The sequence below is a fragment of the Homo sapiens genome, chromosome 6, assembly GCF_000001405.40.
Source record: "Homo sapiens chromosome 6, GRCh38.p14 Primary Assembly".
Classification (NCBI taxonomy): Eukaryota; Metazoa; Chordata; class Mammalia; order Primates; family Hominidae; genus Homo; species Homo sapiens.
The window spans coordinates 166,777,450-166,804,774 of record NC_000006.12 but is presented as its reverse complement, the minus strand read 5'-3'; the positions used below and the strand labels follow the sequence as shown (position 1 = coordinate 166,804,774).

At 42.6% G+C, this 27,325-nt stretch overlaps 1 protein-coding gene and 1 long non-coding RNA gene across 5 annotated transcripts in view, besides 1 other annotated feature; both read left to right on the top strand.

Annotated features, from left to right (window-relative positions):
* Positions 1-27,325, top strand: part of RPS6KA2 (ribosomal protein S6 kinase A2) — a 453,410-nt gene that overhangs the window by 57,999 nt on the left and 368,086 nt on the right. The window lies entirely within an intron of this gene.
* LOC124901459 (uncharacterized) lies at positions 3,394-5,113 on the top strand. The gene is made up of 2 exons (XR_007059865.1): positions 3,394-4,019; positions 4,112-5,113. It is a non-coding gene; the product is annotated as an uncharacterized LOC124901459 (long non-coding RNA).
* Positions 20,328-21,527: an enhancer, noted in NCBI's record as "CDK7 strongly-dependent group 2 enhancer chr6:167196736-167197935 (GRCh37/hg19 assembly coordinates)". NCBI's record gives its function as "activates an origin of replication core promoter dependent on BRD2, BRD4, P300/CBP, MED14 and CDK7 cofactors, with strong dependence on CDK7, by STARR-seq in HCT116 cells {active_cell/tissue: HCT116}" and the evidence as "EXISTENCE:reporter gene assay evidence [ECO:0000049][PMID:35650434]".

The window sequence follows — 27,325 nt, the reverse complement described above, 5'->3', positions numbered from 1 at the left end:
AATAAATTTTAATTTCCCCACAGTGAGATGCCAGAGAATGTGAATGCACTGAGTATTTAATATATTTGATTGTATTAAAAAATTATTAATGGACAAAACAATAAGAGATATAAAACACATAAATATATGATACCTAACGTATATAGATAAATATATAATACTCTATGTAATGCCTAGACCTCTCATTGAACTTTATTTTTATGGGTTTGTGGGCTGTTATTTATCTATAACAGAAAGCTTTAATTTGGAATGCTTTTTAAAAATTTTGTCAATCCAGATCATATGTCTTGTTAGTCTAGTTGCACAGATCGTTTGTTCAAAAAGAGAATAAATTTTAATTTCCCCGCAGTGAGATACCAGAGAATGTGAATCCACTGAGTATTTAATATCTTTGATTGTATTAAAAAATTAATGGACAAAACAATAGGAGATATAAAACACATAAATATATGATACCTAACATATACAGATAAATATATAATGCTCTATATAATGCCTACACCTCTCATTGAACTTTATTTTTATGGGCCTGTGGGCTGTTATTTATCTGTGACAGAAAGCTTTAATGTTAACTCTGGCTTTACTAGTTAAGTATTTTTTTTTTACTAATTTACATATATTATTCCAGTTATAATTATTATCTCACACTGTATTGCTTGACTTTTAAAATTATAGAATTATGAATTAAGGAAATTAGCAAATACAATCAAATCAATAACCAGAATCATCAGACTTCAGAAACCTCACAGAAATTTCAGGTGAAGAATGTTTTACAGGCTCGTATTTTTGCAATATTATTAGGGTTACACTAGAACAGACTGAAAAAGACATTAGCACATTTCAGTTGCATTTCATAACAACATTACATTTTCTAACATTTTAAAAGCAATTTTCAGCCAGTTTTGCTTATCCCCAAGGGGATTTCCATTTTAGAATGAAAAAAATGGCTTAGAAACATAGCTATGGAATATCTAAGAGGCAATTTTCTAAATTGTATGTAAATTAAAACATCTCGTGCTTCCCAGTCTTTCGCTCCATGGCGACTGTGTGAATAACACAGGCACAAAATCAGTCTCTGTGGGGTTTCCTGCTTGACAGATCCACTGAGAGTCTCACGTGTGGAATATGGTTTTGCTGAAATCCGAATTAGTCAGCTAAGCATTTGGCATCCTGGCCAGTCCTGGCAGAGGCCAGTAGTTTAACTCTCGCTGCCTGCCGTTTAGACTCCTGACACGGGATTTCCGGGGCTCTAAAGCTTTTAGATTAACTCTTGGTTTGGGCCTCATAACATGTGGGTTGCTGACTTTACCTTGTGAGCCGGGCATGAGGGCCAACAACTGTATTCCAGCCTGTGCTGGGCTTTTGTTTACCAAAACAAAACTACTTCTGAAATAGTTATTAGCGTATCAGCTCAGCAACCTGTTTTGGTGAAAGGTTTAGGAACTATGGGTAACAATGAAACTTACAGTCGTCAATTTTTGCATACATTTGATGCAATTACAAACCTGTTCAGGTAACAAAGAGCAAACTTCTAAAAAGATCGCTTCTTGCACACTTTACCAGTGGAAGTTTTAATTGTCAAATACTTTTGATTTTCTATTTGAAGGGTATTTGGTCAAAGTGCAGAATAATTTCTAAGTCTCTGTTTTGGAATGTCCTTTTTTCTTAGATTCCAATTAGTTTGCACAAAGTTTCAGGGCCAACTTGCTTCAAAATAAATAGATTTAGTACCCAACATTTAAGGATTATTGGTTAAAAGAATACAATGTAAACTTTAAAAATTAGTCTAATTGGTCTCATTTAATCATTTTATATATATATATATATATACACACACACACATATACATACATTATATATAATCTATGGTTTATCACTTGTTCATGAAGATTATCATTTAAACATTTAATTTAACATTATGGTTACATTCAAGTAAATTCTTTTGTCTTTATTAGTAAGATGGCTTGTCTAATTTTCTCTATTTCTTAATGAGTGACAAGCGTTCAACCACTGGCTAAACTTTATTCTGATGTAGTTTCGTCCGAGGAATTGGCTGAGTCATGGCCACCTGAGTGCACCTGGACAGATCAACTGGTTTTCATGTCTCAGTTTCTCCAGCTGCAAACTGGGGGAGCCCATCACAGTCCCCTCAGAGGGATGCTCTTCAGAGAGTCTTCCCCTCTAAAGACCAAATGAGTCAGCCCAGAAAACATTCCCGTTAGTGTCTGGCAGACGGTCGTGCAGCAAAGGCAGCCTCACTGTTATGTGAGAGCTTCTATCTCTTTTTGTCTGAATTTTAACTCATTCTGAGCACATAAGACCTTCCAAAATCCGAGATCTGGTCTTATTTTTAAATCTTATGTTTTGTGTAGTCTATTTTTCTAGAGTTTTTTTCCTTGAATGAATAAGTAAAAATAAAGGGCCACTACGATGAACTAAAAGTAATTTCCTTCTTTACTCTTTCCTAATGTCTAGGGAGGGATTGATTTTTTTTTTTTTTATTTTGAGACGGAGTCTCACTCTGTTGCCCAGGCTGGAGTGCAGTGGCGTGATGTCAGCTCACTGCAATCTCCACCTCCCAGGTTCATGCCATTCTCCTGCCTCAGCCTCCTGAGTAGCTGGGACTACAGGCGCCCACCACCACGCCTGGCTAATTTGTTTGTGTGTGTGTGTGTATTTTTAGTAGAGATGGGGTTTCACCGTGTTAGCCAGGATGGTCTCGATCTCCTGACCTCATGATCCGCCTGCCTCAGCCTCCCAAAGTGCTGGGATTACAGGTGTGAGCCACCACGCCCGGCCTAGGGAGGGATTTAAAAATTTTTTTTTTTTAATTTTCCTCTCAGATTTTTGAATTTACATTATCTTAAACACTGTTAAAGACTTTCCTTCTCAATTGTTTTTCTCTAGTCAATTATAAACCATTCACACAACTAAAAGGCAAAGAACTTACAAATTTAACTCATTTGATTTCTCAAAATATGAAGTTTTGCAGTCAAATATACTCATTGTTTGAAAATTATGTGCATGAATATATTTATGCAGAACATTTTAAATAAAGGTAAAATATTTTTAACTTTTAAAACTTGAATATAGCAAAATGAATAAAATTAGACTCATTAAACATCAAGCCAGGTGTGTGGTGGCTTATGCCTGTAATCCCTGCACTTTGGGAGGCTGAGGCAGGAGGAACATTTGGGGCCAGGAGTTGGAGACCAGCCTGGGCAACACAGCAAGGCTTTATCTTCACGAAACATTATTTTTTTAATTAGCTGGGCATGGTGGCATGCACCTGTAGTCCCAGCTATTTGGGAAGCTGAAGCAGGATGATCACTTTAGCCTATGAGTTGGAGGCTGCAGTGAGCTATGATTGCACTGCTCCATTCCAGCCTGGGTACCAGATCGAGTCCTCATCTCAAAATAAATAAAATAAAATAAAATAAAATAAACCTCCCTTTCCTTTAGATTCTTTTCCTCTCCCCACCTCCTCCGCTTTTACTTAGCTGTGTTTCTTTTCTCCCTGGATACTATCTTTATGTTTTATGTTTTGATTGCAAGCTTTATCAATTAAACTTTTCACGAGTTTAGCATATCAGATTCTTTTGAATGCTTTAAATTTTTATAAAAGTAGACACAATTAAATCACCACAAAACTCCTCACTGCACTTGCAGCAAAACCATTTACAAAAGTGCACATACCATGGTTTAAATTTTTTTCTTTGTCTTCTTATTTCCATGACCGCCTAGAGAATTTCTCAGTATCACTCTCATTTCTGTTACATCCAAAACTTTGGCATTTATACAATTCTTATTGTAGAGTAGAAGTTTTATTAACTTTAAAGATTTTTGCTTTAAATGCTGAAATGAGGAGTCCTGTTTCAGTTATTTTACATATAAATTTTCTTTGCAATTACAGGGAAAACCAAAGGCATATATTTCCAGTGCCTGCCATGAAATCAGGTATCTTCCTTGAGTTAAGGAAACGATTGAGTTGAGGATAATGGTGTTTAAAATGATCTCAGGTAAAGGAAGGCCAACTGTCTTTGTTCAGGTTGCTGTAACAAAATACCCTAGACCAGGTGACTTACAAATAACAGAAATTTCTTTCTCACAGTTCTGGAGGCCGGAAGTCCAAGATCGAGGCACTGTAGGTTCGGTGTCTGGTGAGGACCCATTTCTGCTTCCAAGACAGAACCCTGTTGCTGCGTCCTCCAGAGGGGCTAAGTGCTGTGTCCTCACATGACAGGAGGTGGAAGGGCCTTTTGTAAGGTCCACTAGTCCCATTCATAAGGATGGGGCCCTCATGACTTAGTCACTTCTTAATGCTGTCATGCTGACGTTTGTGTTCCAGTGTATGCGCTGTGGAAGGACACACACCATGGCATTCAGCGCCCTGGATGTGGCAGGAGGCCAGAATGCAGAGCCCTAGACTGTGCCGCAGAACTGTCCGGGAGCTGGGCTGCTCCCCCATGTCCTCCCCGTGCTCTAGGGGCTGAGGGCAGACACAGTGGCAACGTGTCAGAGCCACTGGAAGCCTCTTTGCCGGCCTCCTGGTACGTTGGCCTAATTGCCCCAGAGGGTACTGTCATCTGGGACTTCAATGAGTCACTGGCTTAAAATATTTTTCTAGAACTCCTGAGGAGTTGGCCTAATTGAAACAGAGTGATCTATTTTCCAGGATTCAAATGAGTGTATTAGGCTGGAGACTGCCAGAAACAAAAAAAATACCTGGTGTTTAAAAGGAACCCACGGTCTCCACGAAAAGCTTCTGAGCAAATCCCCACCAGGCAGGCCTGGGGCCTGTGCTTAGCGCATCTCCTGAGAGATCGCAGCCATGACCTGTTACTGGGGACTTGGCAGAAGGGTGGGAGAGGGTGAGGGATGAAGGACTACACATCAGCTGCTGTGTACACTACTCCGGAGACAGGGGCACCCAGATCGCAGAAATCACCACTGAAGAACTTATCCATGGAACCAAACACCGCCTGTTCCCCCAAAACTATTAAAATAAAAAAAAATACTCAGCTAAAAGTAAGGTTTATTAGTTGAAAAAGGTATATCTTCTGGCCTTTCAAAACATTGATATTCCAAAATAAAACTCTCGCACAACTCTTAAGTGTTTCCGCTGGAATCCAATTACCGTAGTGATTTCACACCACTCTCATCCTTTTAAAAAAAAAAAAAACATGAAAATGCTTTCCTTCTGAGCATGCAATTTTTTTTGTGACTCCTTTTTCTCTATAAGCTCAAATTTCCATTCTAACTACTCCTTTAGGATATTATGCCAGTGTGATAGGTATACTTTTTGGCTTAAAAGTCTTTATTCATCACCTTTACATTCTTACAGTAAAAAATCTGTATATAAATTGAATGTATTTTTTAAATGTAATTTTCTGTAACCACAGACTCTAAATGTTGTTTCTTTGAATTATCCTTATAATTATTAGTAGTATACAATTGATTAAAATTTAAATAGTTTTTAAAAAATTGACTCTTATAAAATTAAAATCTCAGAAATTCAATATCAGCGATGCTGGGGATGGGCCCCTGCCCGGGTTCACAGACCCTTGGGGTGCTCCTAAAACAGGCTCGGCACTGAGATTTTCTCTAGTTTCATTTTTATGAGCTAAAGCAAACTTGTTCACATAAATGGGAATGAAAGATGGAAATGGAAAAAGATTTGCTATGTCACTGGTTTTTGAGCTCCTTTCAAGTTGTATGCCAAAAAGCACGTTGTGCTTGTTATACAAGATTGTTTTTAAAGCTCTCTCAGCTGACAACTTGAATAGGGGCTCTCTTTCAATTTTGTGGAAAGCAAAGAATAGGAAACTGCCGCATTTGCTGAAGGCTGGTTTCCTTAGTCACTGGGTACAATTGGCTGCTGATATTCACAGGGGCGCTCTCTCTGGTGCTGTGCTCTAGGGAGGGCGCCACCACCAGGAACACACCCTGGAGAGGGGTTTGGGATGGGTGCGAGGTCCAAGATGCACCTGTCTGTGGAGAAGGGGGCAGGAGATTGTAAAGGGGTCTGGGAAAGGGATTGGCCAGAGAAGTTCCTAGACAGATCACTTTTGGGAAAGAGCTGACGAGCTGGAAATGATAAGTAATTACTTTAAAAATACTTATGCCATGTGCCCCATAGATGGTCTTTGCATGTACACTGACCCCAGTCTGAAGACCACTGTGGTGGAGAGGGCCGCTCCCCAGCTGCAGGGCCAGCACCCAGCAGGCTGAACACAGCCTCCTGCAGCCGGAACAGGGAGCGCTCAGATCTGCAGAGACGCTGTTTGGGGCTCCCTGGGGAAGCTCCCTAATGCCCTCTTTCAGCACCAGGATGCTCCTTTTGGGTGCTAAATATTAATATCAATAGCAGAGTTGTCCACCTTTGGTAGTTAAGGGCTCATCAAACATTCCTCAGTGTCTGTCCCAGATGCTTAGGCCGTGGCATTGGCACTTTTGAGGCCAGCTGTAACTCATCCCTGAGCTGGGCTGCACCTTCTGCATTCAGTGAGAACAGAATGGACACAGCAAGGACTTGCAGGGGCCACCCCAAGGCTGATGACATTGGGCTCTGAAGAGCTTGACCAGCAAATTCCATTGTTCAATAGCTACAGTTGGTTTTAATTACCATGGGATAAACACTGAGGGCGAATGGTGGAATGGAAATGAACAAATTATCGCATATTCGATTTTGCTCTGTTTGATCTCTGGTTGGTTCTCATGGCCTACCTGACCAACCAACGGTAGTGACATCGATGATTCGGGTGCCATTTTTCTTCTGCTGCTTTTCACCGTGTAACAAATCAAGGTTTTTTTCACTCTTGCCTTTTACTCCAGTGTCTTCTGGTCATCAAGGTTTGATTCTTTTACCTCCCTTGACCAGCACAACTTGAGTTCAAGTTCTGGCCTGTCTGGACCCGGCGGTTACACCTATCAATCACCTCTGTGCTTAAATTCCTTCAAGGGCTTCTCCACATTGATATATTTTTTCTAATAAAAACTAATTGCCATTGAACCTTGAACAACACAGGTTTGAACTGCACGTGTCCGATTATATGCAGATTTTCTCCCACCTCTGCCACCCCGAGACAGCAACACAAAGCCTTCCTCCTCCCTCTCGTCAGCACCCCCTGCCTGGACAACAAGGATGAAGACCTGTATGAGGATCCATTTCCACTTAATGGATGGTACATACATCTTCTCTTCCTTATAACTTTCTTAATATCATTTTCTTTTCTCTAGTTACCCTATTGTGAGAATACAGTATATGATACATATGACATATGTGTGAATAGGCTGTTTATGTTATCAGTAAGGCTTCCAGTCCACAGTAGGCTGTTAGTAGTTAAGCTTTGGGGGTCCAGAGATAGACATGGATTTTTGACTCTGCAGGGAGCTGGGTGTCCCTAACTCTTGCACTGTTCAAGGATCAACTATATGTCATGCCACTGATTCTAAAAAAAAAAAACATTTCTGGAAATAATTTCATCTCCTTCAGTGGCATCCATCTCTTTTGTGAGGTGTGCCTTGCCCCTGCCATCCTGCACAATGTCCCCAGCACGGATGTGGGGTGCCTCCCTCCCTGGGACGCAGAGTGCCTGATGAAGGAGACACAGAGATGCGGCAGCAGAGCCTGGGATTGGAGAAACGGAGTTTTTCCAACCCAGGGATTGTCTCCACATCATCCTCAGCTGTGCTCAGACCGACAAGCCAGTGCTGTGACTGCTTTGCTCGGGCGTGAGAGCCACTCTTCATGAACTGCTCTCAAATGCCCTGGAGAATGAAACGCAGTGTAGAGAGGAAAAGCTTTGCCTTCTCAGGTTCGGTACCTGGGAGCCTCCAAGTTAAATGGACAAAAGCCAGATTAGCGGGAGAAAAGAGTTGTGTAAGTGTGCCACATGGGTGCACTCAGGACTGTGCAGTTGCGAGTGACTCGTGTGACTGTGCCACGTGCGTGCACTCAGGACTGTGCAGTTGTGAGTGACTCGTGTGAGTGTGCCACGTGCGTGCACTCAGGACTGTGCAGTCGCACTCAGGACTGCGTAGTTTTGAGCAACTGAAAGGAGTGGTTTGAATATGGGTCTGTAGAACCAACTTAGCAGGGAAAGGGAGAGGAGAGAGGCTCCAATGGGAAGAGCAATAGATTTCTTCAGGAAAGACAAATGAGTTTGTTGTTGTTGTTGTTTTTCTTTTTAAGACAGAGTCTCTGTTGCCAGACTGGAGTGCAGTGGCACCATCGCTGCTCACTGCAACCTCCACCTCCCAGGTTCAAGCCATTCTCCTGCCTCAGCCTCCCAAATAGCTGGGATTACAGGTGCGTGCCACCACACCCAGCTAATTTTTGTGTTTTTAATAGAGACAGGGTTTTATCATGTTGGCCAGGATGGTCTCTATCTCTTGACCTCGTGATCCGCCCGCCTCGGCCTCCCAAAGTGCTGGGATTACAGGTGTGAGCCATCGCACCCAGCCGACAAGCCAGATTTTTAGGGGGCCATATGAGAGATAAGAAAGTTTGTGATAATGTTTGTCCATATGGACATGAGTGGTCTTTTTGTCTTTTTCAGGGCTCTACAACTCCCTCAGAGTGGGGATTTATCGTAGGCTTACTTTTAGTCTCCCCGCTAGGAATAGAAGTCTCCCCGAGGAGGGAATTAATAGCAGTCCTCATTTCTTGAAAGTTGCTGTTTTCCATCAGATAAGAAAAGCTCTGAGAAGTTGCTGGTCAGATAAGAAAAGCTCTGAGAAGGCTTCTTTCTGTATCTGTTGAGTCTCAAATGTCTTCAGATTAAAATAATCTTTATAGTGCCTGGGGTTCCAAGTGGGTCCCCACAGCATCTAGAAGCCATTCCCTTATCCTTGACTATTGGTCCAGAGGACACAACTCAGCCCACTGCCTGGATGCTTCCTGTTCTCCTTTCTCTGCCAGGGACACCTTTCTGCTCCCATCTGCAGTCCAGGCTCAAGTCCCACCTTTTATGGAAAATTATTCCTGATTCCTGTGGTCCGAGCATCCCACCACGGTGCCCACACACTGCACCTGAGCCTGCTGGGGCAGCAGCCCACAGCCTGGAGCCCAGCTGTGATCACTGGGACCCTTCAGGGAGAGTCCGTCTTTCTCACCCCGCAGTCCTCATTACTTAGCTTGGTGCAGGGGACCCCTGACAACCTCCAACCACGATGATTACCTGCCCTTTACAAGGAAAGTGAAATCCTGAAAAATTCAGAAGAGCTTAGAGAATGAAGGATCTGGTTTTGTCTGATGCAGAGCTGCGATCGGCTGTCAGGTTCAAGAAGAAAGTCACTCTTGCTGGGCACTGGCTCTTTAATGCCACATGGTCAATGTTCACCTGACCACTGGGACCAGTTTCAGTGTCTTGTCAGTTTTTTGAGTGAAAGCAGTTGTGTTTGTATGTGTTCTGTTCCTTTAATTTAAAGACTGTGTTTTTCTTTTTTCTATTATAATGATAAGATAGCTTTAATAGAACAGCAAAATGAAATACAGTTGAGATTTGTACATTCTTTTCAACTATCAGCCTCCATATATCACAAATGGGTCTGGCTTTATGATTTTAAGACACTGAAAGACCAAAGAGGGTCCAGGTTTTGCTTTATTAATACCACATAATGTGTATTTCTTTTTTCCCTGAATTTAAAAGGAATACAGTATATTACAATGTAGAAAATGAGAAAAATATACAAAAGTATAAACATTTCTTTTAGAATGGATGAATTTTTATTTTATTTTTATTTTTTATTTATTTATTTTTATTTTATTGTTATTATACTTTAAGTTTTAGGGTACATGTGCACAATGTGCAGGTTTGTTACATATGTATACATGTGCCATGTTGGTGTTGCTGCACCCATTAACTCATCATTTAGCATTAGGTATATCTCCTAATGCTATCCCTCCCCCCACCCCACAACAGTCCCCGGAGTGTGATGTTCCCCTTCCTGTGTCCATGTGTTCTCATTGTTCAATTCCTACCTATGAGTGACAACATGTGGTGTTTGGTTTTTTGCTCTTGCAATAGTTTGCTGAGAATGATGGTTTCCAGCTTCATCCATGTCCCTACAAAGGACATGAACTCATCATTTTTTATGGCTACATAGTATTCCATGGTGTATATGTGCCACATTTTCTTAATCCAGTCTATCGTTGTTGGACATTTGGGTTGGTTCCAAGTCTTTGCTATTGTGAATAGTGCCACAATAAACATACATGTGCATGTGTCTTTATAGCAGCATGATTTATAATCCTTTGGGTATATACCCAGTAATGGGATGGCTAGGTCAAACGGTATTCCTAGTTCTAGATCCCTGAGGAATCGCCACACTGACTTCCACAATGGTTGAACTAGTTTACAGTCTCACCAACAGTGCAAAAGTGTTCCTATTTCTCCACATCCTCTCCAGCACCTGTTGTTTCCTCACTTTTTAATGATCGCCATTCTAACTGGTATGAGATGGTATCTCATTGTGGTTTTGATTTGCATTTCTCTGATGGCCAGTGATGATGAGCATTTTTTCATGTGTTTTTTGGCTGCATAAATGTCTTCTTTTGAGAAGTGTCTGTTCATATCCTTCACCCACTTTTTGATGGGGTTGTTTGTTTTTTTCTTGTAAATTTGTTTGAGTTCATTGTAGATTCTGGATATTAGCCCTTTGTCAGATGAGTAGGTTGCAAAAATTTTCTCCCATTTTGTAGGTTGCTTGTTCACTCTGATGGTAGTTTCTTTTGCTGTGCAGAAGCTCTTTAGTTTAATTAGATCCCATTTGTCAATTTTGTCTTTTGTTGCCATTGCTTTTGGTGTTTTGGACATGAAGTCCTTGCCCATGCCTATGTCCTGAATGGTATTGCCTAGGTTTTCTTCTAGGGTTTTTATGGTTTTAGGTGTAGCATTTAAGTCTTTAATCCGTCTTGAATTAATTTTTGTGTAAGGTGTAAGGAAGGGATCCAGTTTCAGCTTTCTACATATGGCTAGCCAGTTTTCCCAGCAGCATTTATTAAATAGGGAATCCTTTCCCCATTTCTTGTTTTTGTCAGGTTTGTTAAAGATCAGATGGTTGTAGATATGTGGCACTATTTCTGAGGGCTCTGTTCTGTTCCATTGTTCTGTATCTCTGTTTTGGTACCAGTACCATGCTGTTTTGGTTACTGTAGCCTTGTAGTATAGTTTGAAGTCAGGTAACGTGATGCCTCCAGCTTTGTTCTTTTGGCTTAGGATTGACTTGGCGATGCGGGCTCTTTTTTGGTTCCATATGAACTTTAAAGTAGTTTTTTCCAATTCTGTGAAGAAAGTCATTGGTAGCTTGATGGGGATGGCATTGAATCTATAAATCACCTTGGGCAGTATGGCCATTTTCACGATATTGATTCTTCCTACCCATGAGCATGGAATGTTCTTCCATTTGTTTGTATCCTCTTTTATTTCCTTGAGCAGTGGTTTGTAGTTCTCCTTGAAGAGGTCCTTCACATCCCTTGTAAGTTGGATTCCTAGGTATTTTATTCTCTTTGAAGCAATTGTGAATGGGAGTTCACTCATGATTTGGCTCTCTGTTTGTCTGTTATTGGTGTATAAGACTGCTTGTGATTTTTGTACATTGATTTTGTATCCTGAGACTGCTGAAGTTGGTTATCAGCTTAAGGAGATTTTGGGCTGAGACAGTGGGGTTTTCTAGATATACAATCATGTCATCTGCAAACAGGGACAATTTGACTTCCTCTTTTCCTAATTGAATACCCTTTATTTCCTTCTCCTGCCTAATTGCCCTGGCCAGAACTTCCAACACTATGTTGACTAGGAGTGGTGAGAGAGGTCATCCCTGTCTTGTGCCAGTTTTCAAAGGGAATGCTTCCAGTTTTTGCCCATTCAGTATGATATTGGCTGTGGGTGTGTCACAAATAGCTTTTATTATTTTGAGATACAGCCCATCAATACCTAGTTTATTGAGAGTTTTTAGCATGAAGGGCTGTTTAATTTTGTCAAAGGCCTTTTCTGCATCTATTGAGATAATCATGTGGTTTTTGTCATTGGTTCTGTTTATATGATGGATTATGTTTATTGATTTGCATATATTGAACCAGCCTTGCATCCTAGGGATGAAGCCAACTTGATCATGATGGATAAGAGTTTTGATGTGCTGCTGGATTTGGTTTGCCAGTATTTTATTGAGGATTTTTGCATCGATGTTCATCAGGGATATTGGTCTAAAATTCTCTTTTTTTGTTGTGTCTCTGCCAGGCTTTGGTATCACTATGATGCTGGCCTCATAAAATGAGTTAGGGAGGATTCCCTCTTTTTCTATTCATTGGAATAGTTTCAGAAGGAATGATACGAGCTCCTCTTTGTACCTCTGGTAGAATTCGGCTGTGAATCCATCTGGTCCTGGACTTTTTTTGGTTGGTAGGCTATTAATTATTGCCTCAATTTCAGAGCCTGTTATTGGTCTATTCAGGGACTCAACTTCTTCCTGGTTTAGTCTTGGGTCGGTGTATGTGTCCAGGAATTTATCCATTTCTTCTAGATTTTCTAGTTTATTTGCGTAGAGGTGTTTATAATATTCTCTGATGGTAGTTTGTATTTCTGTGGGATTGGTGATGATATCGCCTTTATCACTTTTTATTGCATCTCTTTTCTTCTTTATTAGTCTTGCTAGTGGTCAATGAATTTTGTTGATCTTTTCAAGAAACCAGCTCCCAGATTCATTGATTTTTTGAAGAGTTTTTTTTTTGTGTCTCGATCTCCTTCAGTTCTGTTCTGATCTTAGTTATTTCTTGCCTTCTGCTAGCTTTTGAATGTGTTTGCTCTTGCTTCTCTAGTTCTTTAATTGTGATGTTAGGGTGTCAATTTTAGATCTTTCTTGCTTTCTCTTGTGGGCATTTAGTACTATAAATTTCCCTCTACACACTGCTTTGAATGTGTCCCAGAGATTCTGGTATGTTGTGTCTTTGTTCTCGTTGGTTTCAGAGAACATCTTTATTTCTGCCTTCATTTCGTTATGTACCCAGTGGTCATTCAAGAGCACGTTGTTCAATTTCCATGTAGTTGAGTGGTTTTGAGTGAGTTTTTTAATCCTGAGTTCTAGTTTGATTGCACTGTGGTCTGAGAGACAGTTTGTTGTAATTTCTGTTCTTTTACATTTGCTGAGGAGTGCTTTACTTCCAACTATGTGGTCAATTTTGGAATAAGTGTGATGTGGTGCTGAGAAGAATGTACATTCTGTTGATTTGGGGTGGAGAGTTCTGTAGATGTCTATTAGGTCCGCTTGGTGCAGAGCTGAGTTCAATTCCTGGATATCCTTGTTAAATTTCTGTCTCGTTGACTTGTCTAATGTTAACAGTGGGGTGTTAAAGTCTCCCATTATTATTGTGTGGGAGTCTAAGTCTCTTTGTAGGTCACTCAGGACTTGCTTTATGAATCTGGGTGCTCCTGTATTGGGTGCATATATATTTAGGATAGTTAGCTCTTCTTGTTGAATTGATCCCTTTACCATTATGTAATGGCCTTCATTGTCTCTTTTGATCTTTGCTGGTTTAAAGTCTGTTTTATCAGAGACTAGGATTGCGACCCTTGCTTTTTTTTTGTTTTCCATTTGCTTGGTAGATCTTCCTCCATCCCTTTATTTTGAGCCTATGTGTGTCTCTGCACATGAGATGGTTCTCCTGAATACAGCACACTGATGGGTCTTGACTCTTTATCGAATTTGCCAGTCTGTGTCTTTTAATTGGAGCATTTAGCCCATTTACATTTAAAGTTAATATTGTTATGTGTGAATTTGGTCCTGTCATTATGATGTTAGCTGGTTATTTTGCTCGTTAGTTGATGTAGTTTCTTCCTAGCCTTGATGGTCTTTACATTTTGGCATGTTTTTGCAGTGGCTGGTACCGGTTGTTCCTTTCCATGTTTAGTGCTTCCTTCAGGAGCTCTTTTAGGGCAGGCCTGGTGGTGACAAAATCTCTCAGCATTTGTTTGTCTGTAAAGGATTTTATTTCTCTTTCACTTATGAAGCTTAGTTTGGCTGGACATGAAATTCTGCATTGAAAATTCTTTTCTTTAAGAATGTTGAATATTGGCCCCCACTCTCCTCTGGCTTGTAGAGTTTCTGCCGAGAGATCCGCTGTTAGTATGATGGGCTTCCCTTTGTGGGTAACCCGAGCTTTCTCTCTGGCTGCCCTTAACATTTTTTCCTTCATTTCAACTTTGGTGAATCTGACAATTATGTGTCTTGGAGTTGCTCTTCTCGAGGAGTATCTTTGTGGCATTCTCTGTATTTCCTGAATCTGAATGTTGGCCTGCCTTGCTAGATTGGGGAAGTTCTCCTGGATAATATCCTGCAGAGTGTTTTCCAACTTGGTTCCATTCTCCCCATCACTTTCAGGTACACCTATCTGATGTAGATTTGGTCTTTTCACGTAGTCCCATATTTCTTGGAAGCTTTGTTCATTTCTTTTTATACTTTTTTCTCTAAACTTCCTTTCTCACTTCATTTCATTCATTTCGTCTTCCATCACAGATACCCTTTCTTCCAGTTGATCGCATCGGCTCCTGAGGCTTCTGCATTCTTCACGTAATTCTCGACCCTTGACTTTCAGCTCCATCAGCTCCTTTAAGGACTTCTCTGCATTGGTTATTCTAGTTATCCATTCGTCTAATTTTTTTTTCAAAGTTTTTAACTTCTTTGCCATTGGTGTGAATTTCCTTCTGTAGCTCAGAGTAGTTTGATCGTCCAAAGCCTTCTTCTCTCAACTCGTCAAAGTCATTCTCCGTCCAGCTTTGTTCCATTGCTGGTGAGGAGCTGCATTCCTTTGGAGGAGGAGAGGCGCTCTGCTTTTTAGAGTTTCCAGTTTTCTGCTCTGTTTTTTCCCCATCTTTGTGGTTTTATCTACTTTTGGTCTTTGATGATGGTGATGTACAGATGGGTTTTTGGTGTGGATGTCCTTTCTGTTTGTTAGTTTTCCTTCTAACAGACAGGACCCTCAGTTGAAGGTCTGTTGGACTTTGCTAGAGGTCCACTCCAGACCCTGTTTGCCTGGGTATCAGGAGTGGTGGCTGCAGAACAGCGGATATTGGTGACCCACAAATGCTGCTGCCTGATCGTTCCTCTGGAAGTTTTGTCTCAGAGGAGTACCCGGCCGTGTGAGGTGTCAGTCTGCCCCTACTGGGGGGTGTCTCCCAGTTAAGCTGCTCGGGGGTCAGGGACCCACTTGAGGAGGCAGTCTGCCTGTTCTCAGATCTCCAGCTGCATGCTGGGAGAACCACTACTCTCTTCAAAGCTGTCAGACAGGGACATTTAAGTCTGCAGAGGTTACTGCTGTCTTTTTGTTTGTCTGTGCCCTGCCCCCAGAGGCGGAGCCTACAGAGGCAGGCAGGCCGGCCTCCTTGAGCTGTGGTGGACTCCACCCAGTTCGAGCTTCCCAGCTGCTTTGTTTACCTAATCAAACCTGGGCAATGGCGGGCGCCCCTCCCCCAGCCTCGATGCAGCCTTGCAGTTTGATCTTAGACTGCTGTGCTAGCAATCAGCGAGACTCCGTGGGCGTAGGACCCTCCGAGCCAGGTGTGGGATATAATCTCCTGGTGCGCTGTTTTTTAAGGCCGTGGGAAAAGTGCAGTATTAGGGTGGGAGTGACCCGATTTTCCAGGTGCCGTGTGTCACCCCTTTCTTTGACTAGGAAAGGGAACTCCCTGACCCCTTGCACTTCCCGAGTGAGGTAATGCCTCGCCCTGCTTCAGCTCGCGCACGGTATGCTGCACCCGCTGTCCTGTGCCCGCTGTCTGGCACTCCCTAGTGAGATGAACCTGGTACCTCAGATGGAAATGCAGAAATCACCTGTCTTCTGCGTCACTCACCCTGGGAGCTGTAGACTGGAGCTGTTCCTATTCAGCCATCTTGGCTCCACCCACCTATTTTATTTTTATTTTTTATTTTACTTTAAGTTCCAGGATACATGTGCAGAATGTGCAGGTTTGGTACATATACATACATGTGTCATGATGATTTGCTGTACCTATCAACCTGTCATCTAGGTTTTAAGCCCCACATGCATTAGGTATTTGTCCTGATGCTCTCCCTCCCCTTGCCCCTCACCCCGGACAGGCCCCGGTGTGTGATGTTCCCCTCCCTGAGTCCAAGTGGTCTCATTGTTCAGCTCCCACTTATGAATGAGAACATGCAGTATTTGGTTTTCTGTTTCTGTGTTAGTTTGTTGAGGATGATGGCTTCCAGCTTCATCCATGTCCCTGCAAAGAACATGATCTCATTCTTTTTTATAGCTGCATAGTATTCCATGGTGTATATGTACCACATTTTCTTTATCCAGTCTATCATTGATGGGCATTTGGGTTGGTTCCATGTCTTTGCTATTGTAAATAGTGCTGCAATAAACATAGGTGTGCATGTGTCTTTATAGTAAAATGATTTATAATCCTTTGGGTCTATACCCAGTAATGGGATTGCTGGGTCAAATGATATTTCTTGTTCTAGATCCTTGAGGAATCGCCACACTGTCCTCCACAATGGTTGAACCGAGTTACACTCCCACCAACAGCATAAAAGCATTCCCATTTCTCCACAGCCTCACCAGCATCTATTTTTTCCTGACTTTTTAATGATTGCCATTCTGACTAGTGTGAGATGGTATCTCATTGTGGTTTTGATTTGCCTAATCATAATACCTAATGATCAGTGATGATGAGCTTTTTTTCATATGTCTGTTGGCTGCATAAATGTCTTTTTTTGAGAAGTGTCGGTTCATATCCTTTGCCGACTTTTTGATGGGTTGGTTTTTTTTTTTTTTTTTTGTAAATTTGTTTAACTTCTTTGTAGATTCTGGATATTAGCCCTTTGTCAGATGAGTAGATTGCAAATATGTTCTCCCATTCCTTAGGTTGCCTGTTCAGTCTGATGCTAGTTTCTTTTGCTGCGCAGAAGCTCTTTAGTTTGATTAGATCCCATTTGTCAATTTTGGCTTTTGTTGCCATTGCTTTTGGTGTTTTAGTCATGAAGTTTTTGCGCATGCCCATGTCCTGAATGGTGTTGCCTAGGTTTTCTTCTAGAGTTTTTATGGCTTTGGGTTTTACATCTAAGTCTTTACTCCATCTTGAGTTAATTTTCATATAAGGTGTAAGGAAGGGGTCCAGTTTCAGTTTTCTGCTTATGGCTAGTCAGTTTTCCCAGTGAAGGGTATAAATGCTTAAAATAAATTTAAATGTAATAAAGAAGAGACAGTAACTTTTAACAGGGGGTATATTTTTTTCAACTGTGACCTTTTTTTTTGGAACATTTCTACTTCTATATCTGTACTCCCACAGCCAGACTTATATTTTTATCATCAGTATCTAGATATGTTTCTATATTTAAATCAACACAGTTTATATAATTCATAAATATCAAATCATACTTTTTATAATATTCTCTTAACATTTCATAACTTTTCCCCAAAACACTTAAATATTTTTAAAAGCAGCTAGAGTTTTCCATCATATAGCTGTACCATAATTTATTAGTACAATCCCCTATTGTTGATTACTTAGGTAAATTTTCAATTATACATCATGATAAAAAAAACACTATGATAAACATCCACATACATCAGTCTTTATCTTTGGATAAACTCCTAGAAGTTATTGGGTCAAATAATTTGAATATTTTTATATAAACATGCTTATTTTACATCTTATTTTATGCAAAATAATATTTTAAGGCCTAATTTAGGAAAAATATTTAAATTCTGGATTGAGTTTTCTATACACATATTGGCACACCGACATAGCTGTGTCTACCACGAATCAGAATTCCTGGTTGGGAAGGCCATTTAAAACCCACATTGCAAAATGGCATCAGGCTCATTTGACCTATCTCGGGCCTCTTGTACTTTTCTCTTCTGCCCTCTAGTGGTCATGAGGATCAAAAATGTGGAACTGGAATTATATATATTACTCTACTGATGAAAGTAACCAAAATTAAGCATAAAACACCTGAACTAAACTATTTTTGAGCACTAAATTACACAATTACTAAAAATTTATCATGACATAATTCAGTTTTCTTCACTTTTGCTATGATGATTTTTTTAAGCATTTTTTTCCTCCTGTGATGTGGAAGGTATGCATCTTTTAAAAGTATAATTGTAGCATTTTTGTTTATACTACTATAAAATGGCAATATCTATTAACCTAGCAATGTTTGAAGTAAATTACAAAAAAGAATACTTTTACATTCTTCCTTCCATACTACTCCCAACCGTCTACAAATCTTTGTTGATGCAATCAGAATTTTTTTTTTTGCATCCGTGATATCATTCATGAATTATTTTGTTACCTTTTCTACTTTGATAATCAGTTTTGTCACCATTTTCTCCCATTTTCATGGCCATATTAACAATCATTATTCTCTATTAACTCCTTTTAACTGGTTTGCTTTTCTTACTGCTAATACCATGATTTGTAAATTCTCCTTCCTTATGTTCTGTATTTGGAATTAAGGTTTATTAGACAAGTTCATTTTTAAAGACATTTTTCTGGGCTGGCTGAGCCAGGCTGCCACTCCTGTGTTCATATTTAGTTCTGCTCCATGATGATTAGCAAAATAAAAGGAGACTGTTCACCACAGAAGGACTTAAAATGTACTGTGATATCAGCTTTCCATACTGTAAGTGGATTGGAGGAGTCACTGTTCCTAACTCAATTTTCTCAAATAACAAGAAACACCCATAAATGATTGTTGAAAAAGGATATCTGAATTGTATGGTTTTCTGGTCACATTTGTCAGAACCCCTTTTTTCTTAGATTTTTAAAAAGAAAATAAAACCAAATGTTATTTAATTGATTATTATCTGCTATTTTTATTATTATTTTGTTAGATTTCATTATTGACCTTCTAGAACAAAAAGGAAGAAAGGTAAAAAATCTTTTTGGCAATACCTTGTCTTTATACTAACATGTCCTAAAAACATATTTGAATGACTTAAGTCTCATATAAATAAGATCGTTGTAGTAAAATCATTGAGTGCTTTATAGAAACAAGATGCCTGGAAGCAAATTGTGGTGCTTAAGAATACGGGCTTGGACTCAGCTAAGTCTGACTTCAAATGCTGGCTCTGCAACTACTAGCTTGTGACTTTGGATAAATTATTTAACCTTGTTCAGTCTTAGGTTCAACAGCTGAAAAACGGTGTTCATGTTGCTCAGATTCTCGTAAGGACCACGTGAGTGGAGCTCTCGAACCAGGAGCACCATGCCTGGCGTGGAGCAACCTTGAACTTAGTCGCTATCTTTCAGGTGTTTTCTGGTCCATTGTCTATGGAAAGTAATTACTTAAAAAATAATAAACCCTCAAGTAAGTAGAAGAAAGGAGCAACAGCTCCCATAAACTGAAAGAGCCAATAATCCCTGCCCTATACACATCTTTTCAAACCTGGAGCCAGCGACCTAGGGAGGAGACTGAGGCCGGCAGAACTGGGTGACCTGCCTTGGCAGCCTAGTGGGGGGTGGCACATGAGGGGTGAAGAGAAGAAGCGCCAAGTCCCTCCCCTGCTTTCCGGGGAATGTCCCAGACAGGCAGAGGCTTACATCAAGAATTCGGAAGATTGTCTTATTTCAGAATGAGACTGCCTTTACAAGCAAATGGGATTGTACTAGTCAGTGCTCTCCAAAGAAACAGATCTAAAAAGATGCAGACAGATAGGTAGACGCAAACACAGAAAGATTTACACATATACAGACACGTGTATACAGAGAGTGACCAATAGCTACAACCTGCTCTAAGAAGGACCTGACAGCCAGGGCAAGCTGGGGATTTTCCTGACATCAGAACCATCCTCCCAGCCCCAGCTCAGCCCGTGTACAACAGAAGCCAGGAAGCACATGCAAAGTGAGGCAAACAGGGATTATTCATCACAAATGCACTCATCAAGCCAAACTTATTCATAAATTTACTCGGTAGAATGCTTCCTCTGTCCTGGATGAGACATGGAGACCACTGCGGGACTTCTCTGGTCTCATGTATAGACATGCATACATAGGTATATATGTGGTTATAGATAGGTGTGCACGTGTGCATATGTGGTTATGCATAGGTGTGCACGTGTATATATGTGGTATAGATAGGTGTGCACATGTGTATATGTGGTTCTGCATAGGTGTGCACGTGTGTATATGTGGTTCTGCATAGGTGTGCACGTGTGCATATGTGGTTCTGCATAGGTGTGCACGTGTGCATATGTGGTTCTGCATAGGTGTGCACGTGTGCATATGTGGTTCTGCATAGGTGTGCACGTGTGCATATGTGGTTCTGCATAGGTGTGCACGTGTGCATATGTGGTTCTGCATAGGTGTGCACGTGTGCATATGTGGTTCTGCATAGGTGTGCACGTGTGCATATGTGGTTATGCATAGGTGTGCACGTGTGCATATGTGGTATAGATAGGTGTGCACGTGTGCATATGTGGTTATGCGTAGGTGTGCACGTGTGCATATGTGGTTATGCGTAGGTGTGCACGTGTGCATATGTGGTTATGCGTAGGTGTGCACGTGTGCATATGTGGTTATGCGTAGGTGTGCACGTGTGCATATGTGGTTATGCGTAGGTGTGCACGTGTGCATATGTGGTGATGCGTAGGTGTGCACGTGTGCATATGTGGTGATGCGTAGGTGTGCACGTGTGCATATGTGGTGATGCGTAGGTGTGCACGTGTGCATATGTGGTGATGCGTAGGTGTGCACGTGTGCATATGTGGTGATGCGTAGGTGTGCACGTGTGCATATGTGGTGATGCGTAGGTGTGCACGTGTGCATATGTGGTGATGCGTAGGTGTGCACGTGTGCATATGTGGTGATGCGTAGGTGTGCACGTGTGCATATGTGGTGATGCGTAGGTGTGCACGTGTGCATATGTGGTGATGCGTAGGTGTGCACGTGTGCATATGTGGTATAGATAGGTGTGCACGTGTGCATATGTGGTTACAGGTAACTGTGCACGTGTATATATGTAGTTATAGATAGATGTGCACATGTGTATATGTGGTTTTAGATAGGTGTCCACGCGTGTATGTGATTACAAATAAGTGTTCACATATATATGTAGTTACAGATAGGTGTGCACATGTGTATACATAGCTATGCATAGGTGTGCACATGTATATATGCAGTTATAGATATGTGTACATATATATGTAGTTTTAGATATGTGTGCATGTGTATATATGAAATTTTAGATATGTATGTATGCATATATCTATGTCATTTGTATCTATATCTGTCTATCTAGAGAGAGACAGCAATTTGCTTTTGTTAAGGAATTGGCTCACACAATTGTGGGGCTGGCAGGCAAGTCACAAGTTCACAGGGCAGACCAGCAGGCTGGGAATTCTAGTGGGAGTAGATGTTCTAGTCTCAAGGCTGTCTGAAGACAGAGTTCCTTCCTCTTCAGGGTAGCTCAGTCTTTTCCCTTAAGGCCTTCAACTGATTCGACGAGGCCCACTCACATTACGAAGGTAATCTACTTTACTCAAATCTGCTGATTTCAATGTTAATCACGTGGCTCCTGCTTGTAGTTCCAGCTCCTGGAAGGCTGAGGCGGGAGGATTGCTTGATTCCAGGAGGTCGAGGCTGCAGTGAGCTGTGAAGCCTCCACTGCACTCCAGCCTGGGTGACACAGAGAGGCCCTGTCTCAAAAACAATAATAATAATAATAATAATAATAATAATAATAATAATAATAATAATAATACCTAAAAGATACCCTGCAGCAAGTTTAGACTGGTGTTTGACCAAACAACTGGGCACCACAGCACAGCCAAGTGGACACAAATTAGCTATCCTGGGGCCAGAGGCCTGTGATTGGCTGAGAGAGATTAGACAAGCCTGGGGTGGCCTCCATGATCACCCAGAGCAGAGGAAGAAGCACTCTGCTGAGTCAGCTTAAGAATAAGTTAGAACTGACGAGTGCATTTGTGCTGAACAATCCCTGCTTGCCTGCACCTTGGGTGCACTTCTGGCTTCTGTTGCATCCGGGCTGAGCTGGGGCTGGGAGGACAGTTCTGACGTCAGGTAGGGCCCCGGCTCTCTCCTGGCCATCCGCTCCCTCCCAGAGCAGGCTGTAGCCATCTGCCTCTAAGATGCAGACACAGGCTTTTGAGTAATTCTGCTGGTGCCAAGGGAGGACTTGAGGAGGCCCAACTCAGCAATCCGGGCCTCGGGATCGAGTCACGCTTCCTTCTGGTGGCTCTAACCTCGTGCTGCTGCTTCAGTGCTGGCTTCTGATCGGTCCTGAGAGCACAGCTAGGACTTTGTTTAAGAGTCTGGTGCATGGGTGTGTCTCCTCCTATACCCGAGTCTCCATCTTCAAAACCTGCCGGGACCCCAGATAGGCTGGACTTGTGCTTCTAAAGACTCAATTGCTTCTGAACCAGGGGTAATTTTGCATCACCCAACTCAGGGACATCATTTGGCAACGTCTAGAGACATTTTGTTGTGGTTGTTGTTTTTTGAGACAGTCTTGCTCTGTTGCTCAGGCTGGAGTGTAGTGGAGCAATCTCAGCTCACTGCAACCTCCTCCTCCCAGGCTCAAGCAATTCTCGTGCCTCAGTCTCCTGAGTAGCGGGGGTTACAGGCGCTCACCACTACACCTGGCTAATTTTTTGTATTTTTAGTAGAAACAGGGTTTCACCATGTTAGCCAGGCTGGTCTCAAACTCCTGACCTCAAGATGATCCGCCAACCTTGGCCTCCCAAAGTGCTGGGATTACAGGTGTGAGTCACCATGCCCGGCCTCTAGAGACATTTTTGGTTGTCATAACTTGGGCTGTCCAGGGGGGACATGCTACTGGCCACTAGTGGGTCAAGGCCAGATATACTGCTGAACATCCTAGCATGCACAGGACAGGCCCCACGACAGAGTCATCCACTCAGAATGTCGACACTGGTGGTTGGGACACTCTGCCCATAGTCGGCTCTGAGGGAGAAGCTTTGCCTTCTGGACTCTAAACCATGCCTGCTTCTCCATCTGCCTGGCTCCTGGCTCCTGGTGCAAGTCTCTGCTGCATCTCAGAGATGCCGTCTCCTAGCTCCATCATCTGTCCTCAGGAAGGTTCCCAGTTTGCTTGGCCTCCTCTGTCATTTGCAGCTGGGCCTGTTTACCAAGCACCTGCCTGACCGGGGTGAGTGCATACGGGACATGAGCAGCCCCTCCAGGTACATCTGCCCAACTTAGGTGCATGCATGCAGTCCTGGGTCAGCCCCACCAGGTGAACCTGCCTGACTTGGGTGGGTGCATGTAGTTCTGTGGCAGCCCCTCCAGGTGCCTCTCACCCAAAGAGAGCGAAGTCCTGCCTCTGCTGGGAGCTGTGACCCCAATTGTGTTGCTTCAGCAGGGGGTCAAGTTGGCTAGTCTTCCCTGGGAGCACGCCAGGGGGTGTGAGGACAGCGTCCAAGTGACAGGGAGAAGCCACTGACGTTAAGAAGTCATCTTGAACAATCCCCAAAATGCACAGTCAACTTATGTATAATTAAGAGTGAAATGCGGTTCCTAGTTCCTTTGTGAAAATAGTTGATAATGACCTACCTTCGTCTTAAATACACTTAATAAGAACCTGATGTGTTGATTGGTCTTTCTAAAGCTATGACCTTCATAAATTTAAGCAGAGAAAAAAGGTCCATCATGTTTTGTATTTCTGTTAGAGGAGTGATGTCTTATTTACAACCCAGCAATACTGTTTCTTTAGAGAGATTTCTAGTCCTTAAAGGCTGGGAGAGGAACTGGAGCTTCTAGTAGGAGTCAGTAAAATAGTCTCTTTCTGCTAGCGAAGTGTCCGAATATCGGAGTAGTCATGATTGTGATGAACTTGATTGCAGCGTGGCTCTGCATTAGTCCACTGGGGAGTGTTGGTTGCTCAGCCTGGGGTGTTACAAGATATTTTTTAAAAGGTCTTGTCCACATCTGTGTAATCCAACCAGGCTGACTTGCAATGTTGCAGACACACTTTTTTGCCCTGAGTCTTAGTTTGAGACAATTATGTATTTTCTACAGGTGCAGATGAAAACTATAAATAGCATATTAAATGCCCATAAAAGACCACCAGGAGACCTTCGACATCTGGGATTGGCTCATATTTCAAGTCTGACCCCTCCCCTTGGTTAAACACTGAATGATGTTTTCTCCTGGTTCTCCAGCTCCTCTGGGTGGGCCCATGAAGGGAACCTCTGGCTTCTGTGGTATACGCATTTGCCAGAGCTGCCGTAACAAGGCACCGAGACTGGGCGACTTAAACAATAGAGGTTGGTCGTCTCACAGTCCCGAGGCCAGAAGCCCCAGGTCCAGGTGCCGCAGGCCTGGCTCCCGCTGGGGCTGTGAGGGAGGCTGTGCTCGGGCCTCTCTCTGGCTTCATGGTTGCTGGTGGTCCTTCCCCCATCTCTCTCCCCATGGCCAGGTGGCCATTGTCCCCCATGCACCTGTTTCTGTGCCTCTGAGGACACCATCATATTGGACTAGGCCCACATACTCCGAGGTGACTGCCTCTCAGCTAAGCCCAGCTGCAATGGCCCTTTCCCAAATCAGGACACATTCCCAGGCACTGGGGCTGGACTTCAAGGCATGGATTTTGGGGTACGCGATGCAGCCCAGAACTATGCTGCTATTGGTCACAGTGACGCTACTCATTGCTTGCCAAGGAACACTTCTCCTGCTTTGAGCCATCCCCTTGCCTGAGAAATTAGCAAGGCCTCCCACCATGAAGAAAAGCAGAGGAGGCCTTTCCCTATCTCCCATAGAAAAGGGGGAGCACTGTCATCTTGGCACTTTTTAAAATATGGTGGTATCCTTGGGATGAGTTCAAAAAAACTATCTCCTTCCCAGTCTGCCACCCCAGTGTTTGCCACTGAGAGCATTGGTTGTCTCTAGCGAGCTGAGGGACTTGGTGAGTCCTTTTCCAGCAGCCGTCGGCAACGCTAGCCCCAGCCTTGCCGTTATTTCTCTTGGCCGCCCTCACTTCATGGGTCCCTTCTGCAGTCAGCCATCCAGTTCCTCTTCTGCCTGGTGAGAGTCTGGGGTGAGAGGAGGATGAGTTGAGCCGAATCTGCTCATGGAAAGGAAACACCCTGGCCGCTCACCTAAGGACACAGAGCAAGTGCTCTGTGGACGGGATGTGGGCGATCACGGCTGTGTGATCTGGATCCTGACTAGACTGAGGCCCCGGAGCGGCTCCGGCACATGGGTTACTGGTTCTTTCTCTCCCTTAGCCCTGGGCTCTCCCCTATTCCACCAGCCAAGGGTTGGGGTCACAAGCACAGGCTCCCAGGCCCCTCCTCCAATGTCTCAGTCATCTTGTGAAGCCCGGGGGTCCCTGAGCATTTCCAGACTCACACCCTCCACATGTGCGGGCCGGGCTTCAACACAGGAATTTTGAGGATACAATTCAGTCCATGAGACTCAGCATCTATAAATTACAGGTGTGCTTTAAATCTTTACTGGACGGAAGGCAGTCTCTTTGCTTTTGAAGCTTACTTTAAAAACAACTCCTTAGGATATTTTGGGATTGACCCCTGCTGATGACAGAGCTCTGTTGCACCATCCTGAGGGCCGTAGAGAACATCACGGTAGGAAAAATGCCATAGTTTACTTTTCCACTCTCCCACCAAGGAACCGTTAGATTACGTTCAATGTTTTGATCTTTGAAGCAGTGCCAGTGAGAAAGCTCGCACCTGTCTCCCCATCAGTGTGCGCCAGAGTTACACTCCCTGTCTAGACACGTCAATGTGAAATCGGCAGGCCACAAGATTTGCGCATTTTCAAGTTAATCTGCTATCGACAAACTGCTCTCCAAAGCAGCTGAATGCTGGGTGTATCAGAGCATCAGTGTAGTCAATAGCAACGGGCCAGAGTTTTTGCTTCTCCAACTCTCACCAGACGCAGCGTGGCGCTTACGGTGCTGTTTGTAGGAGCCAGGAGCTCACTCTCTGACAGGAGTGGACGCATCTTATTAACACATGAGTTAATGGGTTAATCTTGTTGTTTTTTTGATAGAGTTTCACTCTTGTCACCCGGGCTGGAGTGCAATGGCATGATCTTGGCTCACTGCAACCTCTGCCTCCTGGGTTCAAGAGATTCTCCTGCCTCAGCCTCCCGAGTAGCTGGGACTATAGGCGCGTGCCACCACAACCGTCTAATTTTTATATTTTTAGTAGAGACGGGGTTTCGCCGTGTTGGCCAGGCTGGTCTTGAACTCCTGACCTCAGGTGATCCACCCATCTCGGCCTCCGAAAGTGCTGAGATTACAGGTGTGAGCCACCATGCCCAGCCTAAAAAACAATTTGTAAAACAATGTATGGCGTTCTGAGTTGTTTAAAGAATTCTTTAGTAGCTCAAGTTAAAACAACCATATCATCTCCTGGATATCCTTTTGAACATTGTGGTTTGGTTTTTTCACATTCTGGCCTTTAACGCATCTTGAATGTATTGATATATATGGTATGAGGTTGATCAGTCAGTTGGCCGGCGCCAGTCGTTGCAGAGGCCATCTCACCCTGCTGTTCTCTAACAGCTTTGCCCTTTCGTGAGCCCCACACAGAGGCAGGCAGGTCTCCAGGCTCTGCTGCGCCCGTGGCACCCTCTGAGTTCTTCTAAGGCTAACGTAAGCACCGATATCTCCCTGCCAGGGCTTGTCTTTGCTTCTGTGTCTTTAAAATGGTGTTGGCTGTCCTTCAGCCTTCAAAATCACTTTGTTTTAAATTCAGAAAAAATCGTCCTTTTTGGATTATGATTTTATTAAATTAAATTTACAGATTGACTTTGGAAAAATTGCTATATTTACTGTATTAAGATTTACTTTAGTCTTCTTTTATATCTTTCAATAAAGTTACTCATCTTTTCTGTAAAGACATTACACATTTTTTTAGATGTCTCTTTTATAGCTTATAAGGTTTTTTCTTCTCTTTTCTCTCTCTCTCACAATTGCAAATGCTATCATTTAAAATTATTTTCTGCTGTATTGCCAAAACTGCTTTTGAATATTACTTTTCCATCCATAACCTTTCCATACCCTCTTATTCAAATTAATAAATTCTCTGTAGATTCTCTTGGATTCTGTAGAGATTTATACTATCTGTGAACCGTAGCAGTTTTAATTTATTCTTTCCAACTTGTTTACATTTATTTCTTTTACTATGTTCTTTATGATTTTATAACTTTTAACAATACTTCTTTAATACTCCTGAATATTGTTCATCTGTTCTCTGGAATTCTTGGCTCCATTTTTGCCTTTTTGTGTGTCCTCTGCCCATCGTGCAGAGTGGCGCTGCCTGGGTTCTGGGGCTCCTGGCTGTGCGTGCACTCGG